The following is a 24572-nucleotide window of genomic DNA, read 5'->3' as shown; positions in this document are numbered from 1 at the left end:
TTTTTTAATTTTAAACTTTTTTGTTAAAAACCAAGACATGGCTGGGCGTGGTGGCTCACACCTATAATCCCAGCACATTGGGAGGCCGAGGCAGGTGGATTGCTGGAGTCCAGGTGTTTGAGACCAGCCTGGACAACATGACGAAACCCCGCCTTTACAAAAAAATATGAAAAATAGCCAGGCATAGTGGCACACACCTATAGTCTCAGCTACTTGGGAGGCTGAGGTGGAAGGATTGCTTGAACCTGGGGAGCAGAGGTTGCAATGAGCTGAGATCGCACCACTGCACTCCAGCCTGGGCGATAGAGCGAGACCCTGTCTCAAAACCAAACAAAACCAAAATGAAGATACAAACTCACACATTAGCCTAGGCCTAGGCAGGGTCAGGATCATCTATATCCACTGGTCCCATAAGATTATAATGGAGTTGGGGCCTGGCGCAGTGGCTCATGCCTGTAATGCCAGCACTTTGGGAGGCCAAGGCAGGCAGCTCACGAAGTCAGGAGATTGAGACCATCCTGGCTAACACGGTGAAACCCCGTCTCTACTAAAAAATAGAAAAAAATTAGCCAGGTGTGGTGGTGGGCGCGTGTAGTCCCAACTACTCGGGAAGCTGTGAGGCAGGAGAATGGCGTGAACCCGGGAGGCGGAGCTTGCAGTGAGCCCAGATCGTGCCACTGCACTCCAACCTGGGCGACAGAGCAAGAGTCTGTTTCAATAAAAAAAAAAAAAAAAAAAAAAAAAAGATTATAATGGAGTTGGAATGTTCCTATTGCCTAGTGATGTTGTTGACGTATAGCATCACTGTAGCACAGTGCATTACTCACATCACATATTTGTGGTGGTCTGTGGGGAGCTATTCCAGAAAAAAGCCTTGTTATCATAGGAGATGATAGCTCCTTGTGTGTTATTGCACCTGAAGACCTTCCAGTAGGACAGAATGTGGAGGTGGAAGACAGTGATAGATATATATGTAGTCCACTGTTGACCGAAACATTGCTATGTGGTGCATGAAAGGAAGTAACTCAGGGCCGGGCGCAGTGGCTCACGCCTGTAATCCCCGCACTTTGGGAAGCCGAGGAGGGTGGATCACGAGGTCAGGAGATCGAGACCATCCTGGCTAACACAGTGAAACCCCGTCTCTACTAAAAAATACAAAAAAATTAGCCGGGCGTGGCGGCATGCGCCTATAGTCCCAGCTACTCCTGGGAGGCTGAGGCAGGAGAATGGCGTGAACCCGGGAGGCGGAGCTTGCGTGAGCGGAGATCACGCCACTGCACTCCAGCCTGGGCCACAGAGCAAGACTCTGTCTAAAACAAAAAAAAGAAGTAACTCAGGCCCCACCCTAGACCTACTGAATCAGAATCTGCATTTTTATGATTCTCAATGATTCTCTTATGATTCTCATTTTATTTTTATTCCATGACTTTTTAAAAAAAAATCCCGTAACTTCTTTTTCATAACTTTTTTTGTAACTTTTCATAATACTGTTTTCTACTTTTTTCCCAGAAGTTTTTTTGCCACAACGTTTTTACATTTTTTATCCCATAACGTTTTCACCCCATAACTTTTTTTAATCCCATAACTTATTAAATCTTGTGTTCTTTTAAGAAACACTTGCATAGTTATATTACAACTTTGTAAAAATGAAACACATTATCTCGTGCCAAGCATGCCCAGCATTTGCACAGTATCAATACCTTTAAAACTATAGTTTTGAAGAAACGCAAAATAAAATTTTAAGGCAAAAACAACACTTAGAAACAATTTAATAATTTATTACATTACAGTGGCATCACACCAGCAGTCAATAAGGCCACTCTAGGGAAAAATCTTTCAGTATTTCCATGACACATTCTGTTTACAATAATTCATAAACTGGTAAAATTCATTCTAAGAAAACTTGGCAAATAAAACTTTGGACTGGAATTGGCATTTCTTTCTCTGCTTTTCGTTCCCACCATTTCTTTCTTTTATACTACAGTATTCATATTTTAAAATGTTTTAAATTATTTCAGAACATTAAGATAGCAGTTACATTTTTTAATAGTTATATTATTTTAAAATGACTCTTTAAAATAAAGTTTTAGAGAAACTATATTATGGATAGGGCTGATTTACATTTTCAAATTTTCTAAAATCAGCTTTGGTTTTAGAGCTGATTTTTTTTTTCATTTCTGGAAAATTATCAGGTTTAATCAAATACTTTTAAAATGATTATTATATATTGCCATCTTTAAATAGGTGTTTTGATTCTTCCTACAGAAATTAAAATGTATTCAGTGGAACTCACAGTTTAAAATTCTATGTTTCTGATGAACTCTAACATTCCAATGTTGCCTTCTAAGCAAACTGAAAGCTGCCTTATACTGAATGAGGAAGAGCACAAATACTCGGCTGAATGAGGTATCGCAAAAGACTGCATGCACTTTGGAGAAAGACTTGAGTTATTGTCATACAATTTCCATTCTTTTTAGCTTTTTCTTAAATATATGACAAATACCTACACAAAGAGTGGTATTTCAGTCAATATAGTAAATTTATTTTCCAGACTGACCTTCAGCTTAAATATGCCAGTGTGTGATTTAATCCATAGGCACCTCATGAACACATTATTGTCAGATTGGTTACAGATGCTAAACACTATCCGAAGGTCATTCTAGTCACTGATATTTATCAGGGTAAAAGTGAAGTGATTTCAACGATAAAAGTACCTTTGCAATAATTTATCAATGTATTAGATAAACCCAGTTTCAGAATGATAAAAGAAAAAACGTTAGACCAAATAATGTGGCTGATTAACAGTGGTCCGATTTCTAGCCCGAGGGTTTAAAATGCTCTTAAAGTAACTGTCTTTAAACTGAACTCAAAGAATGCAAAAGCGGCAAGTTCAGAAAATAAAAGGCGAGAACAGGACTTTAAGTGCATTTTAAACCCACGGGCTACAATTCGTACCACTGTTAATTAGCCGCATTATTTGGTCTAAGATTTTTTCTTTATCATTCTGAAACTGGGTTTATCTAATACATTGATACATTCATAAAATTTGGAAGAGTCAGTGGAAGTCACAAGGACCGAATATTTGCACTCTTTCAGTGAATGCCAGCAAATCTGTTATTCCATCGGTAAAATCGTATTGTTGCTCTCCTGTTAATGTCATATTTATAGAAGTATCATGAGGATGCCAAATGCTAAAAATGGAGATGATCTAGTAACTAGAAATCCCCACCGCAGGGAGCACACACACCTATCTCCCTGCATCCTAACAATGTGATGTGTTTTGGAACACAGACATTAGAACTTCATGAAGTTTGAACTGTTGAGTCTTTCCCAAGCATCATCAAGTTACGATTTAGGCAATATACAACTGAAATGCATTCATTCATCATGCATAGGCACAATCACATAAATATCGCACAAAATATGTCCCGAACAGAAACCCAGAGGTACAAAAACATATTTCACTTTGTAAAGAAGTCTGTGAGAAAATATAGCTCTGTGATTGTATAGACACGTTTCCTGATAATACATTGACATTCACGAACAGTAGATTGCACTGCAGTTTGTACACATTTTAAGTTTCATAAACTTCTCCTTGATTTTCAAAGAGAGTACAATACCGTCTACTAAAACTCCTTTTTGTTTCAACTAAGTATCTCACATATATTAGTTTATAATAATGTTTCTATTATTTTTTAAAGTGTTGTCCATTCAAGGAAAAAGAAGTAAATTCCTATGTCAGAGTAACCAAGGTGGTTGAAGAATAGGTATTAGCCAAAGAGGTCTAGATGGTAAAATCAATCTTCAAGCCTCAAAGAATCTCCGTGAACAGAGAGGAATGCCAGGTGTCACACAGCTTTCCTTCACTCTAATTCATTCTTGACTAGAGCCTGTATGCCTGTTCCAGGGACGTTTGAACTCATAAAGGATTTCTTATGATCTTCACTAAATACATTAAGAAGAATGCCAACCAGTGCCCTTTTGTGTACTGGGACATGTAGTCATGTGATTAAAACAGGTAACATGAACTCTGACTTTAAAATGTATTGTAGATACAAATGCTCTAAGCTAGGAAAGGATTTCCACATCCACAGTCAATGATGGGAACCTTTCATTCCTCAGAAATAAGCCCTTTTTAGGTCATCGAAAAAGAGTGCAACTGCTGCAGCTCATGATGCAGTATCTTCATGAGCCCAGAGCACATACAAATCCTAAGGGAACCACCATAATACACTGCTAATTCCTGGCACCGGAACAGATGAAACACACTCTATCCTGCACGTACCTGCCAGAGGAGGCCACTTTCCTCTTCTGTGAGATTTAAAAAGCTCCCCCAAAAGGTTATCACTCCCATCACCAATACACAGAAAATGGAGGAAAGGCTGTTTCCAGTTCTTGGCCTTTAAACAACTCTAAATGTCAGTACTCATAGTGGCATATTACAAAGTAATAAACAGTGCACACTTGGGGGCAAACTACATATTGAGCTAATGAAGAGCTCACTGTGATTAAGATTAGATCAAACAACAGCAGAACATAGGCAAATTTTGTCTGAATTCTGTAGTGAATGTACATGCTGCAATAACATTAAAAAAGCATGGCAGCCTATTCCAAACCAAAGAGAACAGTTTTGGGCAAAGAGTGGGTCTTTGTGTGTTTGAACTCCCACCACGTAAGGGCAAACTCGATATGCACGCTAATGACCTACAATTATGAAATTAAAAAAGAAAAATGCTAAAGGATGCCAGAGTGAACATCAGTGAGAGCCACAGACACCCACTCTCTTTTAACTTTTTACAAATAAACTTAAAACTATAAATTAGAAAAACAAATAATCATGAGTGACTCTAACATTCAAAGGAAGTAAATGAATTGTGTAGGAGATTAACCCCATAACTTGGTTTCTTATTTAAAAATTTCTTGAGCAGCTCTTTGAGGATGGTGATGTTTATCTCCTTCTTCTTGGCAGCCAAGCCCAGCACAACAATGGCACACAGCAGTTGCTGCCCAAGCCTGGGTGCTCCTGGTGGTCCTGCACGATCGGCTGTGCAGTAGGCTTGTCAAGGAGAGGATCCTCCCTGGCCTCTCCTTGGGCAGAGGAGGTGAGGCTCACCTCACAAAGATCTTTGGAGAGAGGGAGGCAGGGATCTGAGCACAGTGGGAGCCCCCTCTTCCTGCCTGCCCACCCCACCTGAGGGCTCTACTCACCACCATGCTTGTCTGCAGCCCCAAGCTCCTGGGGGGCTGGGGCTCCTGGACCGGGCTCATCAGCAGAGTTGTGGGCAGCGGCCAGGAATTTTCTGTGCCCATTGTTGTAGTTGCTGTAAGCCGCAATACCATCTGCTGCAGCTCCAGCAGCTTCACCTGGAGGGAGGGGTGCTCAGCTGCCATGCCGCTGCCTGCGCCCACCCTCACACCCACCCCCACCCCCACCCCCACAGAGATGTTGCACACCCTACCTTCATCTCCTCCCTGAGCTCCAGCCTGATGGTGTCCTCCTCCCAGTGCCGCATCTTTGGCACGGCCCCCTGGTTCTGATAAAAGGTGATGGGTTTTCCTGCGGGAGGACAGGGCTCAGACGCTGGGGCCCCTCCGACGGCCCTGTAGCTCCCCCTGCCGTGCCCTGGCCTCCCACTCACTGATGGCATCTGTCTCGCCAGTGGTGGATGAAGCAGAGTTCTTTTTTCTTCACCAGCTCACTCAGGTCTGCCTTCTCCTCCAGGTGGTCCATAAAGCTGCTCTGGAGCCAAAATATTGCAGTCACATCTCGGCAGCGACCTGCCCTCAGGTGGCATTTTCAAGTCATGGAGAAGGTGGAGGTGAGTCCTGGCATGGGCCAGCTTCTCCGTGACTTCCTGCAGGGCCCAGTGGGTCTCCCCACTCACAGACTCGCCCCCAGGCCCTGGGGCTCCAGGGCCTCTGGCTGCCTCTGGCTCCTTCTGGGCCGAGGCCACCGGGTGAGCCAGGCGCTGGCAGCACACCCTCTGCTCTTTCACCTGCTCTTGTAACTGTGCCTGCTTCTCCTGGGCACTAGCTCCAGCGGACTTGAAAAATGCCACCTGAGGGCAAGATGTGAGCATTCTTCTAGGGGCATACACAGAAGAAATGGGGCAGAGAGGTGGAGCGCAGCCCCTTCCCTTGGAGCCTCAGAGAGTGCACCTGTTGGCCACAGGTGAAATGGAGTCTGACCACTGGCTCTCGGAAGGGGTGAGGGTCCAGAGAAATCAGAAGGCAGGGAAACGAAGAGCATAAAGGGGTCTTGGAGGGACCACAGAGAAAGGTGGCAAAATGGGTGCAGGGGGAGTCAGGCTCACCATGGCCTCCCTGCTCTCCGGGTCCTCTGGGACACTCGGCATGGGCCGAGGTGCCTCCTCCCCCTCACTGTCCAGATGTTCTCCTCCGTGTCCTGTGGGGGGTGGCCAGAGGGGTCTTCAGACAACCCAACAAGGGAGGAACTGTGGGCCCACCTCTACCTCCACCCTCACTGTGTAACCCTGAGCCTGCCCCTCCCCAGAGAGGAATGAGCTGTTGTTCTTTATTTTTACTTTTAAGAATCAAGATCTTGCTATTCCGCCCAGGCACACTCCCACTACTGGTCGATGTGGGAGTTCTGACCTGCTCCCTTTCTGACCTTGGCCAGTTCAGCCACCCTTAGGCAACTTGGTGACCCCCCGCTCACAGGAGGTCACCACACTGATGCCGAACTTAGTGCAGGCACCCGGTCGGCATAATGACCAGCTGTTCTAAAGGTCTCTTCCAACTCCTCAATCCTATGCTGCTAGCAGTCCCCCCTTCCTCCTGGGGCTCTCTCCTCTTCCTCTGAGCGGTCTCCCGTACCTTCCCCAGGGAGAGCCATGAGGCTCAGCTGGGCCGTTAGCTGCTGGTTCTGCTGGCTGGCAGCTTCCAGGTGCTCCTAAGGGGCCAGGACAGAGTGAGAAGGGGTGGAGTTTGCCAGGTCGTCCCCCTCACAGCCCCATCCTCAGCAGCTCCCTCCCCTGGGTCTCCTGCAACTTTTGGCAGGCCATCTCAGCCACCGCTTTGCCCCAAGCTTCCTGCTGCTGCAGCTGGTTCATTAGCTGGGTCTGCTGCAGTCACTGCCTGTACAGCGCCTCCTTCTCACAGGTCAGCTGCTGATAGGCGGCCACCTGCTGCTGATAGGTGGCCACGTACTGCTGCAGGTGACCCAGGTAATGGTCTGGCTGCTGCTGCAGACTCTGAGCCTCTTGGCTCTTCAGCTCCACCTGCAGGAAGACCCTGGGTGTGAGGGCATGTGGTGGCTGGTTTCCAGATTCTGGGCCCATTAATAGGGTAGCGAGGGCACTGTGGGGCTCTGTCAGCTGCCCAGGCCCCTGTCCCCTTACTCCAGGCCTAAGTGACTGCCTCCCTTTCCTAGAACCCCATGCCTCCTTCCCCAGCCTCAAATCTCATACCCTCTTCTCATTTAATCCTCAGCACCTCTGTAAGGAAAATGCTAACTTCCCTTTGAAGTTAAAGAAACAGAGACTTAGAGATGCAAAGTACTTGAATGGTGACCAGTGGAACTGAGGCTGGAATCCAGTTTCAATCTAAGGAGTCTTTTTGTTTTGTTTTCAGACAAGAGTGTCACTCTGTGGCCCAGGCTGGAGTGCAGTGGTGCAATCTCAGCTCACTGCAACCTCCACCTCCTGGGTTGAAGCAATTCTCGTGCCTCAGCCTCCCGAGTAGGTGGAATTACAGGCATGCGCCACAATGTCCTGCTAATTTTTTTTTTTTTTTTTGTAATTTTAGTAGAGATGAGGTTTTACCACATTGGCCAGGCTGATCTCAAACTCCCGACCTCAAGTGATTCTCCTGCCTCAGCCTCCCAAAGTGCTGGGATTATAGGCATGAGCCACTGCACCTGGTATAAGGAGCCTGTTATAGCACTGTCTCTTCCCCTGTGATTGGGGGCTCCATGCCTCTAGCTGGGATGATGATGTCCAGACCTGAGAGGAGCCCAGGGCTACCCACCTTTAAAAGTCAGAGGCAGGAAGCAAGAAACAGTCACAGGACTGCCCTGCGGGGTGCTGTGGTCACCAGCCCCCAGGCTGGAAGCTGCCTCTGGCCTGGCACCTCCCCTCCCAAGAGGCTGCTGCCCGCCTCCCAGCCCTTCTTGGATGGGGTGGAGGTTTCCGTCTCCTTCACCTCGCCAAGCTTCTCCTGTAGCTCCTTTACTTGCTGCTCCAACTGCAGTGCGTTCTTGTTCTCATTGTTCTGGACAGAGAGAAGCAATCAGCAGCCACCCACTGCAGCTGGAGACCCCAGAACTTGGTGTCTGCCTCCCATGGCACTGGGAAGGCTGGAGGCAGGTTAGAAAAATCACCCCCTCTCTCCCACAGCCACCTGGCTCACAGGTGCCTTTAGAAGTAACATTTCATGTGAGGGCTACACTGCCCCATTTTAGAGGTGGGGAAACAAAGGCCCGGAGGGCTAGGGAGGAGGGCAAGCTCCCCAGTTTGGGCAACGCACCGGCTCCTCGAAGACGCTCTGTGGCTTGGCCAGCTGCTGAAGGCTCTTGTGCTGCTCCTGAATCCTCTCCTCCTGCTTCCGAAGCCTCTCTTCCTGCTCCTGAATCCTCTCTTCTTGTCGCTGGTTCAGGAGACTTATGCGCTGATTCTTTTTGACCTGGGCCTGGAGCTCTCCTGCCACTCTCTCTAGTTCCTTCCTCAGGTGCTGCAGCTCCACCTCAGAGGGCACTGCTGGGGGCTCCGGGGGCAAGGGTTCAGCTGACAAAGGAAGCAGATAATAAGGGCCTCTGGATTCTCGGAAAAGAAAAACCCTCCTCTTGGCGCACAGCTCCTCTCAGGCTCCTCAAACTTGGCCTCACTGCTAATGATTCCTCGCACCCAGATGGTAGCCAGTCTTCCAAAGCACATTCAGAGAAAGAGCACTGCGGGTGGCTGGCAACGGGCCCTCTTTCCTGATGGGGACACTGAGACACTGAGACTCATTGAGATGACAAGACTCGCCGTCTCCTGGCACAGATCTCTTTCCCTCTGCCTCAAAGCCCTTCCATCCACCCACCTCCCTGGGGCACTCTAAGCCACCCTCACAGCCCTCTGATGCCAGTCCTGCTCCCAGGTCATGCCAGCCCCATCTTACCCATCTGGTTTTTGAGTTTGGACAAGCTCCTCTCCAGCTTCTCTACCCGACGCATATCTTGCTGCTTCTCTTTCTTTAATGTGCAAATCTGCCCAAAGCACAAGGGGAAAGGGCCTTGGAGAGAGGGGCTGGAGGCTGGACAGGCTGCCCTCTCCCTCTCTGCCCCCACCTCCACAAAGCCCAGACCCATGACCACCTCTGGCTCTACTATTCCCATTTTACAGATGCCCAGAAAGATCCAGTGACCTATCTAATGTGGGGGGGCTGAAGGGTGAGATCTCACCTCCTGCGACATTTTTCTCATCCTCTGCTGCCACCGGGCCCTCTCTCCTTTTAGATGTTCAGCACACTCATCTCTTTCTAATTGGACTTGTTGAAATGACTCCTTCAACTGCAAGAATGGGCACAGAACTTAGGAAGGGCTGTCACTGGTCCTCACCTGCTCCTGGCCACCTGGGGTCATCTTCCTTCCACATAACTCCCTCAGAAAACCTCACCTGTGTCAGCTGCACTTTCAGTAGTGCCTCCTCCCGCATGGACTGCTCTAACTTCCACTCCGTACGTGCTTTGCTGCGGCTGGACAACTGGATGGTGAAGAGTGAGAAGTTTCAATCTGGAGAGCCTGGGCATTTCCACACAGTGCCCCTTAAAAGGACTAGGGCTAGGCCCAATATACAACTCAGTCAGTAAAGATCAAGGCATTTCCAAGCCCGTGGTCTGGTTTTTAAAAGAACACAGTAAAGTTGGAACGGACAGGGAATGAGATTGAATTTATAGCTGGCTAACAGAGGCCCAGAGAGATCAGATAATATTGCTATTGTTATTACTGTTATTATTACCACTGTTTGAACCTTTGTGGAATACTTCACCAGGTACCGTGCTAACAATCCCATTTAATCCTCGCAACCACCATAGGAGACAGTTACTATGATTCCCTCTATTGTGGAGATGAAAAAACATGGAGTATTTGAGGTTAAGTGCTTGCCTAAGTTCACTTAGGCAGAGCTGGGATATAAACACCCAGGTCTATCCAATTCTCTAAGCCCGTTTTTCTTGCTGGGGATGGGGGCACAGATAGGAAGGGGAAAATTAATCTTTTGTTCACTTTTTGAAAGGATGATACATTTGCATAGTCCAAAACTCAGAAGGTACAGAAGGGAAGTATCTCCCGGCCATCTTGTTGCTCTCTCCTGAATTTTTTATGAACCCTTGCAGACATGTTTTATGTATATTATCACAGTATGCACACACACACACACACACACACACACGCACACACGTTTCCTCTTTCTACAGAAATGGTAACATACTAAAGGTACTCTTCTGTACCTTCACAGTAGAAGTACCCAATACCCCACCTAGGACTTGCTCAAGACCACAGCCAGGTAAGGGCGGGGCAGGCATTTGGCCTCCAAGCTCTGCGTCCAGTGCTCACTCCACACAGTGACCCCCAACTCACCCACAGCAGCTGACTCAGCCCCAGGCTGCCACTAAAAACCATACAAAAAAGTAGCAAGAAATGGCCATGCTGCCTTCTGGGCAGGACACGCCATCCTGCAGAAGGGACCTTTAGGCTCACTCCTCCATCTGCAAAGCCAGGCTCCCAGGGGATGGGGCAGGTGGTTGGACTCACCTGGTTTGCCTTCTTCTTCTGTGTGGCCATGACATTAGAGAGAACACTCTCTAACTCTCCTTTACGCTGCAATGAATGTTGCAGGCAGACAGCCAGATCCTTGGACTTTTCTGTAATGAGAAAGTTGAGATGGGGCCCAAAGGACTCCCCCTGAAGACCTGTCAAAGTGCCAGGTTGAAGGATGACAGGGTGCCCAGATTCCCACCTTCAAAGTATCTGAGAGAACGTTTCATGTGGTACAGGTCCGTATTTAGTTTCCCTTTCTGTATGTTCAATGTCTGGATTTGAACCTTTGGGAGAAAAGCCAAGCAAGTGCTGAAAGAGAAGGAAAGAAACCTTCTCCGGAGGACAGGAGGAAACTGCACACCCTCCACTCACCTCTAGCACCCTTTTGGCTTTCTGTTTCTTGTTGTTTGCTTTCTTTTCCTGTAGGAAGAAGAAGACAGAGCTCTTACCAGGGGGAGGCAGAGATGGCACAGCAAGAGACATGCCCCCAGAATGCCACCAATGCCCCAGGACAGGCCCACCCATGGGACCAGGTTATCAGGGGCCCTGTGGGGATGGGGTGGAATCTGAAGGGTGAGCCTTCATCCCCAGGCTGGGAGTGGGTGAGACGAGACTGGGGCCTGTATGTCTGAGTGCCCCCCAAACCCAGCAGTCATGTTGCGAGGAAACGAAATCACGTTACTTCTTCCAGCTGATGTTCCACTTGTTTCTTCTGTTGTTTCTGTGGGGAGAGTCAAATAAGGTGATGGAGGGTGGCCCCCTCAACTCTATTCCCCAGACCAGGAAGTGGTAGGCAGGGGCCAGGAATGGATTTTAAAGGCAAAGTTCTCAGACATAATGGGAACACGAACCGGTAAACTCTCCTCAAGCTCCCAAGGACAGAGGATTTGGGTCTTTGTTGGCTTTTGCCCACAGCCACAGAACTCAAAGTCTGAATCTGGAATCTCTTGAGAGGACAGCAATATAAACCTCTAGAGATGGAGTTTCAGAAAGGCCCCTCCTTCTGGCAACTTGTGATTTAGAGAAGTGGGTTCATTCAATAAACATTTACTGAGCATGTATGGACCAGGTACGGTTCTTTACAGCAGATATAGGATGGAAAAGGACAGACAGGAGCCCTTAGCCCTGAGGTTTCCGTTCTAGGGGGCCTTTAAATCTCAGACTCGAGAGCTAACAGAGACCTTTGATACTCACTACCTCCTCTGGAAACACGAGCCCAAAAAGGAGAGGTGGCTTGTCCAGAATCAAAGAGCAAATTAGGGACTGAGTCATGGCAGAAATACGGGGCCCTTGACAACCAGTCAGGCTAGCACTTCCCCAAGAGGCAACAACCCCAGGGCGTGTGTAGCAAGGACTCGAGCAGGGGTGTCTGGAGAGGAGAGAGTCGGCAAAGAGGGCAGCAAAAGAAGAGCCATGCTGCATGCTCTGGGGTCCCTCCAGGTGAGGCCTGGGCACCCAAGCTCCCTATTTGTCCCAGGCACCAGGGACCCCCAGCCCCTTTCTTCAGGGCCCCAAGGGGAAACTGGAGCCCAGGATTGGCAGCGTGGAATCAGGGGACCCCAGTGGACTCTTACCAGAGATTTGATGGTGTTCTTCAGTTGACTGATTTCTACGGACCTTGAATCCAGGACTACTGCTCGTTCTTGGCACGGGCTCTGAGGTGCATGCAGAGAGGAGGAGGTGGAGCAGGAGTGGGGGGAGAGGTAGAGAGAACAATCATTAGGGCTGGGGTGTGTGGGCTGTCTCAGCTGGCAGAGGGGCACCCAGTCCCACCTGGAGGAGGAGGTTGGAGGGTTGACCCGAAGGGTCACTGCACCTCTGCCCAGAGCCTCTTACCTCCAGATCTTTCAGGGTAGCAGATGATGTAGGGCCTTCCCTGTGGAAACCTGTTGCTGACTACAAGAGATGAGAGTGCACATGGAGATGTTCTGTCCCCCACAGTGTCTGAGCCCTCTGACTTCCTTTCTTCCCCATCAACTGGCAACATTTTCTTTTCTGCCTATCTTGGACCTTTTGTCCCATAACTCCTTTGTGCCAACTTCTCTCATGGTTCTTATCTCCCCACCATCCCATCCTGGGGCCCCTTCAGTGACTCCTGATGGCAAGTGGCTGTTCTCTTTGTCCTGGTTTCCCCTTGAGACTGGGGATGAGGAAAATCAAACCATATCCTGGGTGTCCTGAGTGTTTACAGCAGGCCATGTACTAGGGATTAACATAAAAACAACAATAACAAATCTCATGAAAATTTCACAAATGGAAGTGAAACAATATCACCTCTATTATACAGATGTGAAAAGAGAGGCCCGATGAGGTCTAGCAACTTGCCCTAAATCATATCCCTAGCAGAGCAGATGGAGAGGCAGGATTCAAATCCAGAATTCCTTTTTTTTTTTTCTTTGAGACAGAGTCTTGCTCTGTCACCAGGCTGGAGTGCAGTGGCATAATCTTGGCTACGGCAAGCTCCACCTCCCAGGTTCACACCATTCTCTTGCCTCAGCCTTCTGAGTAGCTGGGACTACAGGCACACGCCACCACGCTTGGCTAATGTTTTTGTATTTTTAGTAGAGACAGGGTTTCACCGTGTTAACCAGGATGGTCTCGATCGCCTGACCTCATGATCCGCCTGCCTTGGCCTCCCAAAGTGCTAGGATTACAGGCGTGGGCCACCACACCCGGCTAAAGCCAGAATTCTTAACCAGTACCCAGCAGTCCATCCACAATCTTAAGAATTACCCTCTATTGCCCCTTGGGCCCCCTGTCCCCAGAAGCCTGGTCAGCCAAGACTCACATCCCCAGGTGGCTGGCAACCACCAGAAGTGGCTTTCTCAGGGACACTGCCATTTGTTTTCCTGTTCCTGTTCGCTCCTGCTGGAACTCTAGGGCTGTTTTTCTGCCAATATTCTTTTAACTGTTGGAAAGAAGAGCAGTAATACTCATGAGAACCGTCAGCCCCTGCAGCCACATCCTCCTTTACAGTTTTTACAAAATACACTTACACACCATCTGATTTAATGACACCAACAACCGTACAAGGTGTTGTCACACTCATTTAGTGACTGAGAAGGATTGATATCATGGCTAGAAAAAAAAAAGAAAAAGGCAATACTGGAACTTTGAAACTCAGTCTTCTGACTCCAAGCTCTGAGGTTTTGCCAAGAATCAGCAGCTGCCAGGGACCAAAACCAGAGGCAGAGGTAGAAAAGTAAACATTAAGTAGGCAGGAACTGTATGCCATGTGGTTTAGAGTCATACATCCTCACACGTCTGTTAGTGTGAAGAAGTGCACCAGTACCTCTCAAACTCTTATATCAATGTGTCCTCATGGCAGAAGGCAGCCTTTCTCTTAAATCAGAATTTATCAGAAAGAGGACAACCCAAGCCTCATTTCAGAGAGAGGGCTGGTATACTCTTAGAAACCTATGTGACTGTCATCCCTAAGTACATTCATGTTTTTTCTCTTGATCTCAAGAGAATCAAGGGAAACTGATGCTTCAGAAAGATGTCCCACATTTATCCTGTGGCACTCAAAGTACCCAAGGTTGAGATAATATGAGGAAGATTCAAGGTGTCAAGTTCAGTTTCCCAAGATCTATTCCACAGAAGATGAGCAAATGTCACTTCAGAGACCACTGACTGAAGGAGAGTCTGGTCCCAGAACCATGGAGAATTAGAATATGAGGTGGAGAACTCAGAAAAAAATGTTAAAATCTCTCTGGAAAGTAGAAGCCTGGGAGAAAACCAAATCAAACCCATTCTCTCATTGCCACCCAGAGATACTGTCAACGTTTTGAGTTCATGGGGGAAGTGTAGGCTTTTCCCACCGTCAACATCTGTAAGGGAGTGAGGCAGCCTGGAACCTCTTGCTCCTAGGTCCCATAGTCTCCATTCCCCTTCCAGCTGGAAATTTGTGCTGTGACCAGAGGAACCAGAAACGGGGTGAGAACGCTTAGGGGACTGGGTCGTAAGATCAAAGGCCAGTCTTGCAGTAACAGCAGTTACTAGGTGGACTGTGACATCACAACATTCCACTCCTCCTGGTCGGGGGGAGGGACCATGTCAGCACCATGTCCAAGTCGCTGCTCCACGATGGGGGAGGGAAGCACAGGGTTGGGACCCAGCTCCTTGGAGACGCCAGCACAAAGAACCCAGGGAGGTCGACCTTGAGGCAGCAGGAGGGGAGGGCACAGTCTGCAGCAGGGAGTCCCAGGAGTCACCAGTCCAAAGTCACCCAGGGATGACTGGCGAGGGTGGGGCCTGGCTCCTTGGAGATGAGAGCCCAAAGAGCCCAGGGAGATCAAGCTTGGGGCGGCAGGAGATGAGGGCCCAGTAATGGAGCGGGAAGCCCCAGGACTCACCCACCCAAAGTCACCCTGGGGTGATTGGCGAGGGCAAGGACTGGGCTGCTTGCTGAAGGGGTGGGGCTGACTGACAAAACTTTGATGGGGGTAGCCCAGAGGCACCGGGGTAGGGGGGACCAGTCCAGTGTGCCTCAGGAGTCGTATAGACTCTGGCAGGGGTCTTGTCATCAGAGGGGATCTGTGGCTGGGTTGAGGGTCTATGACCTAGTGCGTTTTTACCTTTTTCTTGGCTGCAGCCAATTTGTTGTGTTGAGTTTCTTCTGCCATCGCAGGGTGGGGAGGGAGGCAGGGTTGGGGTCACAGCAGCAAAATCTCAATGAGAACCAATCAAGGCCTCCAGTCACCTACCAGGCAGCTGTGTGAGTGAGCCAGAGGAGGCGTAACCAGGGCCCCAGTAGAATGCGGAATAGGGGCGTGGCCTTAATGCTCCAAGCCCATTGGTCAATGAGAAAGATGAAAAGGAAAGGGGGCGTGGCCAGAAAGCAGTGTGTCCAGAGGGCCCTGTGGCTCACAAGGAAAGCTGCCCATGGCAACCGCTCTCCCCACCCACTCTAAGAGAGGGGAGAGGCCTCCCACTCTGGAAGAGAAGAGGGGCCGGCTTTTGCTTTAAAAGCTTTAAAACTTTAAAAAATATATGTGTGTATACTTTATATATATGTGTGTCTGTGTGTGTGTATCTATGTTTTTCTCCTTAGCTGTCTTCATTATCCAGCTTCTATGCAAGGTCTATGATTTTGGCCTATATTTTTCATCTTTGATTACAGTACAAAAATTACCAGTATTACCTTAACTGAGATACAGATCCTATAAAAATGGAAAATGCATAGCATGCTTGATGATTAATGAAGCAGACTATATTATCCAACATTCTAATAAGATAAAATAATCACAATGATTTCTCTTTTTTGGAAAAATGTTTCTCTTATTCTCCTGCGTTTTCGTTAAGATTTTTTTTCTTAAACAAGAAACATGTCTAATATCTGTAAAAACACAAAGCTTTTTGGGCAGGGTGCAGTGGCTCATGCCTGTAATTCCAGGACTTTGAGAGCCCCAGGTGGGTGGATCATGAGGTCAGGAGATCGAGACCATCCTGGCTAACACGGTGAAATCCCATCTCTACTAAAAATACAAAAAAGGCCGGATGGGGTGGCAGGCAACTGTAGTCTCAGCTACTTGGGAGGCTGAGGCAGGAGAATGACATGAAACCCCGAGGTGGAGCTTGCAGTGAGCCAAGATCATGCCGCTGCACTCCAGCCTGGCTACAGAGCAAGACTCCATCTCAATAAATAAATAAATTAATTAATTAATTAATAAAAATAAAAAATTAATAGTAAGAGCAATGTGAACAAAAGTTGTAATAAAATAATTTAGAAAATACAAACTATTAAAAAATAGATTTTAAAACTTGTGCAACAAAGTCAAACAGCACCCAACGAAAATGTATACCCTTATATGTTTGTTTAAAAAGCAATTTAAATTACATTGATCCACTAAACTGGGAAAAGCAAAACAAACAAAAAGGGGGAAATAATTAAGACATAAGGAAAAAGGAAAAAGAAAAACCACTAGATTTAAAAAATAAAACTAAAGGAGGATTCTTTCAAAAGACTGAGATAATAAAACAGTCAAGCCTCTGATAAGTAATCAAGATAAAGAAAACTTTGAAGAGAAAAGGGCATATAGCCACATGTGAATATGATGCAAAAAGTGAAAACTTTACACATCTTTACAACACCTTAGAAGTATGGATGACATGTTCATTTTTTTTTTTTTTTTTGAGACGGAGTCTTGCTCTGTCACCCACGCTGGAGTGCAGTGGCGTGATCTTGGCTCACTGCAAGCTCCGCCTCCCGGGTTCACAACATTCTCCTGCCTCAACCTCCCGAGTAGCTGGGACTACAGGCGCCCGCCACCACGCCTGGCTGATTTTTTGTATTTTGGCTTAGTAGAGACGGGGTTTCACCATGTTAGCCAGGATGGTCTCGATCTCCTGACCTCGTGATCCACCCGCCTCGGCCTCCCAAAGTGCTGGGATTACAGGCATGAGCCATCGCACCCGGCCAAAGTGTTCATTTTTTTTTTTTTAAGAACCTACAGTTATGAAAACTAACTGGAAAGAAATGGGTTTTGGGAAAGATTGAGTACATTTTTGTGATGTTCAACATTATTTTTTCTTACAGTTTTAAAAACACAATTGATGTTTCTATCAATTTGACTTAAAAAAATTAAGAACTATATTAAAATTTACCAGCAGAGGGGAGTGAAGGAACACAAAGCAACTTTCAGTTTAGGGTAATTTTTGGGCATAAACAGGGCAGCAATGTCCTCAACTCTATTCTTCTTTATTAGCCAGTGAATCCATGTGAGCTCATTAAATGTTATTAACAGCTCAGTCTATAATGGAGGGCAAATAAAGAGACTTGTAGGTCACAAAGGTATTGACTTTTGATCAGAAGTTCCAGGGGGCGAGAAGAATGAACTAACTCCATGCATTCTTTTTTTGTTTTTGTTTTTGTTTTTTTTGAGACGGAGTCTTCCTCTTTTGCCCAGGCTGGAGTGCGGTGGCTCAATCTCGGCTCACTGCAAGCTCCGCCTCCCAGGTTCACGCCATTCTCCTGCCTCAGCCTCCCGAGTAGCTGGGACTACAGGCGCCCACCACCACGCCCAGCTAATTTTTTGTATTTTTTAGTAGAGACGCGGTTTCCTCGTGTTAGCCAAGATGGTCTCGATCTCCTGACCTCGTGATCTGTCCGCCTCGGCCTCCCAAAGTGCTGGGATTACAGGCATGAGCCACCGCGTCCGGCTCCATGCATTCTTATGGCCACATTTTTCCAGTTTGAAGTTTTATTTTCCGAGTTTCTTGAAACAATTGTGAAATCAGTTTTATTACACTAAAATCACTGTATTTTCTTATTTTTGGATATCTATTTAAAAATATTCATTTAGAATGACATTCCAGTGAAATACATTTTTAACGGCTGTTCTATGTCACAGGGATAACAATTTGACTTTCACAAACTGTATTTCAGACGTACAAGGTCTTCATTTTGATGAAGAGGGGCTGTGGGAACATAATCTGATGCCTGTTCAAAATGTACCAGAAGTGCACGCATGTGTATGCAGGCATGAGCGCACACACACACACACACACACAAAACCCCATTGGGATTCCATTTAGCACACACACACACACACACACACACACACAAACCCCACTGGGATTCCAGTTAGCACGCGCACACACACACACACAGACACACACACACAGCCCATTGGGATTCCAGTTATTTACCTCGAGATGGATGCTTGCTGATGTTCCAAAACCTCTTTAGGTCTTAAGGCAAAGGGCCTTTTGAATGCAAAAACCCTTACCTAGATGGAATAGACAGCAGCAATCATTGTCAACAACCTGAAATATATATTGAGTAGTTCCCATGCTAGACATTAGAGACATAAAGATGCAGAAGAGGCCATCGCCTTAAGGGAAATAATCCCGTTCAGACAAATGAGAATACATTGTGTAATGAGCTATCTCTTATAGGAAAGATGAAGACCAATCACCAACAGACCAGAATTCCAATATTTCACCAACTTGTAATATTATTCCAACTTCTCCTTCACATTCACTTAATTCTCATAGAGCAGTAACCAGAGTTTTGTGTTCTTTTTCTTTTTCTCTTCTTCTTCTTTTTTTTAAAAAACAAAGTCTTGCTTTGTCGCCCAGGGTGAAGTGCAGTTGTGCGATCTCGACTCACTGCAGCCTCCACCTTTTGGGTTCAAGAGATTCTCATGCCTGAGCCTCTTGAGTAGCTGGGATTACAAGCATCTGCTACCATGCATGGCTAATTTTTGTCTTTTTAGTAGAGACAGGGGGTTTTATCACATTGGTCAGGCTGGTCAGTTTTGTGTTCTTACTAGAGAGTTCTACTCTGTTATGTCAGAGAAGGAAAATGTCTTTTGATTTCATTTCAATGAAATGTCTATTCATTAATTACATCTTCATTGGCATTTCATACAGGATTAAGACTATCTTCTTTGCCTTAATGGTATACTGTGTGCATTGTTCCTTACCCATCGTAGCAGCTTTGAAGGTCTTTTATCCATATTGGTATTTTCCAGTACCAGAAAACCAAGTCTTGAAAGAAGGACTTCATGTCTTATCCATGGACACGCCATGGTTCCAGAATGTGTTGTCAGTTGATAAGATAGGCTTGATTTGTTACTGGTCTTAATGAGGGCTTTAGGTCAGCACACCAGGCAATGTAGGAGTTCTGGGACTGTTAGGGAAGGCCTGATGGAGAAAATGGAATGTTAGCTGGGCTTTAAAGAGAAAGTAGAAATTAGATCACTGGGGGAGGGGGTAATGTAAAAAACATTCCAGGTAAGAGAAAGTGCTTAGCAAGTAAGAAAGCATCCAAAATATTAGAAAGTACCAGGCTGGTGCAGTGGCTCACACCTGTAATCCCAGCACTTTGGGAGGCCAAGGCAAGTGGATCACTTGAAGCCAGGAGTTCAAGACCAGCCTGGCCAATATGGTGAAACCCTGTCTCTACTAAAAATACAAAAGTTAGCGGGGCATGGTGGCATGAACCTGCAGTCCCAGCTACTTGTGGGGCTGGGGCTGAGGCTGAGAATCTCTTGAACCTGGGAAACAGAGGTTGCAGTGAGCCGAGATCACACCACTGCACTACAGCCTGGGCAACAGAGCGAGACTCTGTCTCAAAAAATAAATGAATAAATAAGTAAAATAAAAATAAAATGCTTACAGGAACTTCAACCACAATTTTTCTTGTTCACTGATAGTAAATCTAATAGAGAATTCAGGATTTATCTTACACTTGAAATTTTGTTACTGATTACTGAAAAATTATCTACAAGCACCCAATTGTGAGTTTTACAGAAACCTGGTCTCAGGAGTTATGAACCAAAGATTCACCAGTGGACTCCGCAGAGTTTTCAGATCCCCTGAAATCATGTGCTAGGTGCTGACTGCATTTTTCTGGAGAGGCTATAATGGTTTTCATTCATCTGATTCCTCTCAAATGGTAAAAATCACCAATGGAATGGAGCCACACATCCTGTAGCAGAAACTTCTAAAAAACCAGGAAAAAGATGAAACATGGTACCATGTACCTGCTCAGCCTCTACAGATCCTGCTTCTGGAAGTTGAAACAAATTCTTAAAACTTGCACAACTTTTTTTCTAGTGCTTGAATGACCTCTAGTGGCTCCTTAAATTATCACAGCCAATTGCTCACAGCAGGAAATAGGTTGATGCGAAAGAAATTCACAGATTTTGCCATTAAAAGTAACGAACTAAAGAACTAAAAGGTGTGGAGAAATAATAAAATTAAGATGGCATCACAAAGGAGCACCTGGCTCAATTTCAAGTTATTATATAAGCTCCCTACTATCCAACCAAATGTAGTTCACAATACAGTGTGTGTAATTCAAAACAGTTCACCAGATAGTTCAGTACACACCATTTTTTAAATGAAATAAGTATGATTTTCCCTAAGGTCTTGCATTTCAAATTAATAAAGCATCAGCAAACACCCATGAAGAGAACAGTACCGGAATCAAAGATACAAGAACCTCGGGAATTAACACCCACCCTTTCCTCTCAGTTGAGGCAGGACCAGGAATACAACGTTGACAAAGTATAACTGGAGTAGCAGAAATACTTTGAGAATACAAACTGGCCACAGAACTCAACCTGAGTGAGCACAAGTAACAAATATGGTCCAGGAACTGCTGGGCCAAACTCTCCAAGTGGGAGTGCAGCAGCCGCAACAGCAAGTACCAGTAGAACAAGGGCAGCACATCACCCAGGGTGACAAGCAGGTCCCAGATTACTTCACATGCCCTCTGCCCAGTCCCTTGAGAATTCCTGCAGCAGCAAAACATACCATCTTCCAGGCACTGCTACAGGGAGTCCCAAGCATACTGATACACTTTCATTCACTTATTTCAAAATATTTGTCAGTATCTAGATATACACAAGACACTGTCTAGGCACGGGGGTGGAGTGTTGAACAAGACAATTCACAATCCCTGTTCCAATGGAGCTTGTAGTCTAGTATGGAAAGAGAAATAAATACATAAAATGCCAGGTGGTGATATATGCTGTGAAAAAGATCAAGTAGAACAAGGGGTTTGGAAATTACAGGGTGCCCATAGTATTCTTTTCTATAAGTTGATCATCTCAATTCAGACTAGCTGTTCTTCAAGCACTCAATAGCCACAGTGGCTGGTGGCTACTATACTGGATAGTGGAACACATCTGAAACTATCATCCATGCCTTTTTAATTCACAATCTTTATCCTCTTTCTTTCTGAATCCTAAGAGAATTCATCCAACTGATCTTCAAATTCACTAACTCAGCTTCCTAAAGTATCCATAATCTACTGCAACTACTGAATCATTTAATTCAACAGTCATATTTTACATATTCAGAGGCTCTTCCTTCACAGCTTCTGAGCAACAAATGCCTGCTCTGACGATGCAGGAATATCCTCTAAAATCTTGGGACTTTGTCTTGGACTTTATGTTCTCTCCCATCTTCTATAGCTACTCCATCTCACTGGAGACCTTTTGCTCTGAGCCATCAGAAGGAACCCCCATTTTTAAGATCCTAAGCCTTCTCATCTTCCTGGTAATACTGCCCTATATGCTCAATCTTTTAGATAAAAATCTACTCGACACATCTCTGAGAACCAAGTTGGGTACCATCAGTAATCACATAGGTAACAATTCATTTATTTTAGGCCCCCCCAAAAAGGAAACAATTAGACTTAGTGGCATTTTACTAGTAGCTCAGAGATCCAACAGTTTGCAGGAAATAGAGATGGAATTGTAAGCAAGGGAAATACAGTGAAATTATATTAATCTCCACCCAGACACTGTAAGGCCAGCTGGTATACTATCCCAGCAATTGGCTACTGCAGTGAATGGCACAGAGAGAAAAGTTTCCAATTCCTCTTGAGGCTCCAAATACCAATTGGCTACTATAGTGGACAACACAGACATAGAAAGTTTTCCAATTCCTCTTAAAGCCCCAAATACCACACAACCAGCTTCAGCTCTACAAAATCCTCTCTCCTTTACCCTTTTTAACCTCCTTCAGGACCTCTTGCTATTTCCCCTAAAAAGCCTTGGTTCTTTTCACCTACACTGACTCTTGAGCCTCTCCCAGTTCAAGGTATAACACTCTATTACCAATAAAGTGTAATATACATTAACAGAATAGGTAGAAAGTAATCTTTCATACGAAAACACTAAAAGCCAGAAGAATTTGAATTTTGAATTATAAGCTATGATTTAATTAGGAAATACATTACCTGTAACAAAATGTTGGACAGACTACAAGAAAACGGGAAATGCACAAGTCTTATTCAAAAACAAATGAAATAATGATGAGTAGGGTTCACGAGCCTTGTTAACTCTGCTGTGCCATTTTAATGATGGACTACATTGTAAATGAGCCGCTATGTTTAAGCCTAAAGGTCTGTTGAGGTGATAAGTTTTTGAACAATTTCCACAATCCCACAAAGAAAAGTCAAGTGAAGGTCAAGGAAAGCCGCATGTTCTAAATTACAGAATCAACAACAGTACTTCTTGTCATTCATCACATTTCAGTCATAAAAGACATTACCTCAACAACAGGTGTATTTTCCTGGAGATCAGTTTTGTGCGAAGCCAGTAAACCAATCACCCGAGCAACCTTGGCCCATCTGTAAACGGAGAGAAAACAGGCTCTGAAGAGAAGAGTCAGGGACTGAGGAAACTAACCCCAGCTAGTTACATTATGCAATGATGAGCATTAGATATAAGACTGTGAAATAAAAATTGAATGTGACAGGTCAGGCCCACACTCCCCCATGTACACAGCCCAGAGAAACTCTCCCTCGTATACACAGGGAGACATGAACTGTAATGTCTGCTGTAATTCTGCAACAGCAACAAAATTTAAACAAGTTATGGTGTAATAGTAAAAGGAAAAACAAAATTTGTTAAAAGCCTTAACCAGAGAAAAGAGCAACACAGTAATTAATCATTTTATTGCTGAGTACAGAGGCATTTGGCTAAAGGTCTCTTTTCTACTTGTTAGTAGATCAGTGAGTTTCTACGTAAGTGCTAAATATCTGAACAATAACATATCTGTATGTATTCATTTTAAAAGAAATTTTTACAATCAAAAGTTTCTAAAATATTGTACTATTTCCATAATCACTAGTCTTAATGAGGTGTGCCTTTAGTATCCAGCAGAAAACTGAATTTGATAAATCACAATTAATAAATCACATTCAGTGTGATTTGAAAAGGTATTTCATGCAGAAAAATTAGTTTTGATGAGAATTTTTTCTAATTGAAACAAATGGTGAGTTGATGAGAACTGCACTCATTGGGTGATGTCTGCATGTTGTCTGGAATAATCAATATGTACCTTAGTCAGCTTTTATTTTTTACCTTCTTAAAATAAACCTATGTGGCACCCATGGAGGAAAACAAATCAGACTCAGAGAAGTACTTCAGGGAAAATGTCTGCGTTATCACAACTCTAACATACAGAAATAATTCTTAGAAATTTCAACACTTATTAAATTGCCCATTAAAATTTCTTAACATATACAACTTAAAGAAGACCTAGGCAATTGTAGAACTAGCATCCTACCTCTGAATAAAAAGATTATAGTTTAAAAGTAATCATTTTGAAAAATATCTGTAGGATAATTGGAAAAGCCATCCTCCCACCACAACCCCCCAAGTAGCTGGGACTACAGGCGTGCACCACCACGCTCAGCTAATTTTTTTACTTTTTGTAGAGATGGGGTCTCGCTATGATGCCCAGGCTGGCCTTGAGCTCCTGACAAACAATCCTCCCATCTCAGCCTCCCAAACTGCTGCGATTACAGGTCTGAGCCACTGCACCTGCCTGTCTATCTCTTTTCAAAGACAAGCTCAAAATACTTTTGAAACACTGAACCATTTTTCAATCTATAAAAGTAAATAATGGCTACCAGATTTAATCAATGGAAATAAAAATGTATCAACAAGCCAATTATTTTCCCTAATATGACCAAAACAATTCCTATTAGAACAAAAGAAAACACACTACCTAAAAACCCTATACTTTTAAAATAGAAACTTTAAATAGCTTATGAATAGTCACTTTTTACCAAAATCCTAAATACAAGTACCACATGCCCCATAGACAACACCCTCACAGTACAGGTTCCTTCTCAAAATTCAGGTTTTCTCAGGTCACCACTCCAGGTGCCCCCAGTGACTTGACACTGTACCTCAGAACCAACCCATCTCCATGACGGCATCTAAGGCACCACTGTCTACCAAACCTTCGTGCACTGACAAATGTCCCACATCTGCACTGTTCAATCCAGTATCCACTAGACACATGACTATCAAGCACATAATATATGACACATGCAAGTGAG

General features: G+C 45.2%; 1 protein-coding gene, 1 long non-coding RNA gene and 2 pseudogenes across 9 annotated transcripts in view, besides 2 other annotated features; 1 reads left to right on the top strand and 3 right to left on the bottom strand.

Annotated features, from left to right (window-relative positions):
• Window positions 1-4571: part of a non allelic homologous recombination region, noted in NCBI's record as "15q13 proximal microdeletion recombination region, recombines with the 15q13 distal microdeletion recombination region", that runs on past the window's edge. NCBI's record gives the evidence for it as "EXISTENCE:DNA microarray evidence [ECO:0005524][PMID:25326701]" and "EXISTENCE:nucleotide sequencing assay evidence [ECO:0000219][PMID:25326701]".
• The window catches only part of ARHGAP11B-DT (ARHGAP11B divergent transcript), a 34584-nt gene that overhangs the window by 6269 nt on the left and 3743 nt on the right, over window positions 1-24572 (top strand). The window contains exons 2-5 of one of the 7 annotated variants that reach the window (NR_157597.1): window positions 4970-5102; window positions 5723-5819; window positions 8241-8327; window positions 9458-9829. The exons of 2 other annotated variants lie outside the window; for them this stretch is intronic. This is a non-coding gene — a long non-coding RNA (ARHGAP11B divergent transcript). Of the gene's footprint in view, window positions 1-4969; window positions 5103-5722; window positions 5820-8240; window positions 8328-9457; window positions 9830-11185; window positions 11816-24572 lie in introns of those variants that run through there. 4 more of the 7 variants (NR_157594.1, NR_157596.1, NR_157598.1 and 1 more) reach the window with 4 other exon arrangements.
• GOLGA8H (golgin A8 family member H) lies at window positions 1758-15482 on the bottom strand. Its single transcript, NM_001282490.2, has 19 exons — window positions 15337-15482; window positions 13548-13667; window positions 12596-12655; window positions 12334-12414; window positions 11442-11480; window positions 11132-11179; window positions 10959-11043; window positions 10754-10863; window positions 9618-9704; window positions 9404-9511; window positions 9121-9208; window positions 8488-8744; window positions 8164-8232; window positions 6838-6913; window positions 6315-6406; window positions 5640-5740; window positions 5460-5557; window positions 5209-5364; window positions 1758-5124 (listed from the first exon to the last, which is right to left on the bottom strand). Exons 1-19 carry the CDS (start codon window positions 15382-15384, stop codon window positions 4949-4951), a joined length of 1899 nt encoding a protein of 632 aa, NP_001269419.1. The 5' UTR covers window positions 15385-15482; the 3' UTR covers window positions 1758-4948.
• Window positions 6550-6786, bottom strand: RN7SL628P (RNA, 7SL, cytoplasmic 628, pseudogene; annotated as a pseudogene).
• ULK4P2 (ULK4 pseudogene 2) overlaps window positions 18802-24572 on the bottom strand; it is a 28154-nt pseudogene continuing 22383 nt past the window's right edge. The window contains exons 4-5 of the transcript NR_027470.1: window positions 22772-22850; window positions 18802-19408 (exon numbers count right to left, since the gene is read on the bottom strand). The product of NR_027470.1 is annotated as a ULK4 pseudogene 2 (transcript). The remainder of the gene's footprint in view (window positions 19409-22771; window positions 22851-24572) is intronic.
• Window positions 22221-24572: part of a non allelic homologous recombination region, noted in NCBI's record as "15q13.2-13.3 gamma inversion proximal recombination region, recombines with the 15q13.2-13.3 gamma inversion distal recombination region", that runs on past the window's edge. NCBI's record gives the evidence for it as "EXISTENCE:nucleotide sequencing assay evidence [ECO:0000219][PMID:25326701]".

The sequence above is a fragment of the Homo sapiens genome, chromosome 15 (assembly GCF_000001405.40).
Source record: "Homo sapiens chromosome 15, GRCh38.p14 Primary Assembly".
NCBI lineage: Eukaryota > Metazoa > Chordata > Mammalia > Primates > Hominidae > Homo > Homo sapiens.
Note: the sequence above shows the minus strand (reverse complement) of the source record. Positions and strands in the feature narration are given on the sequence as shown.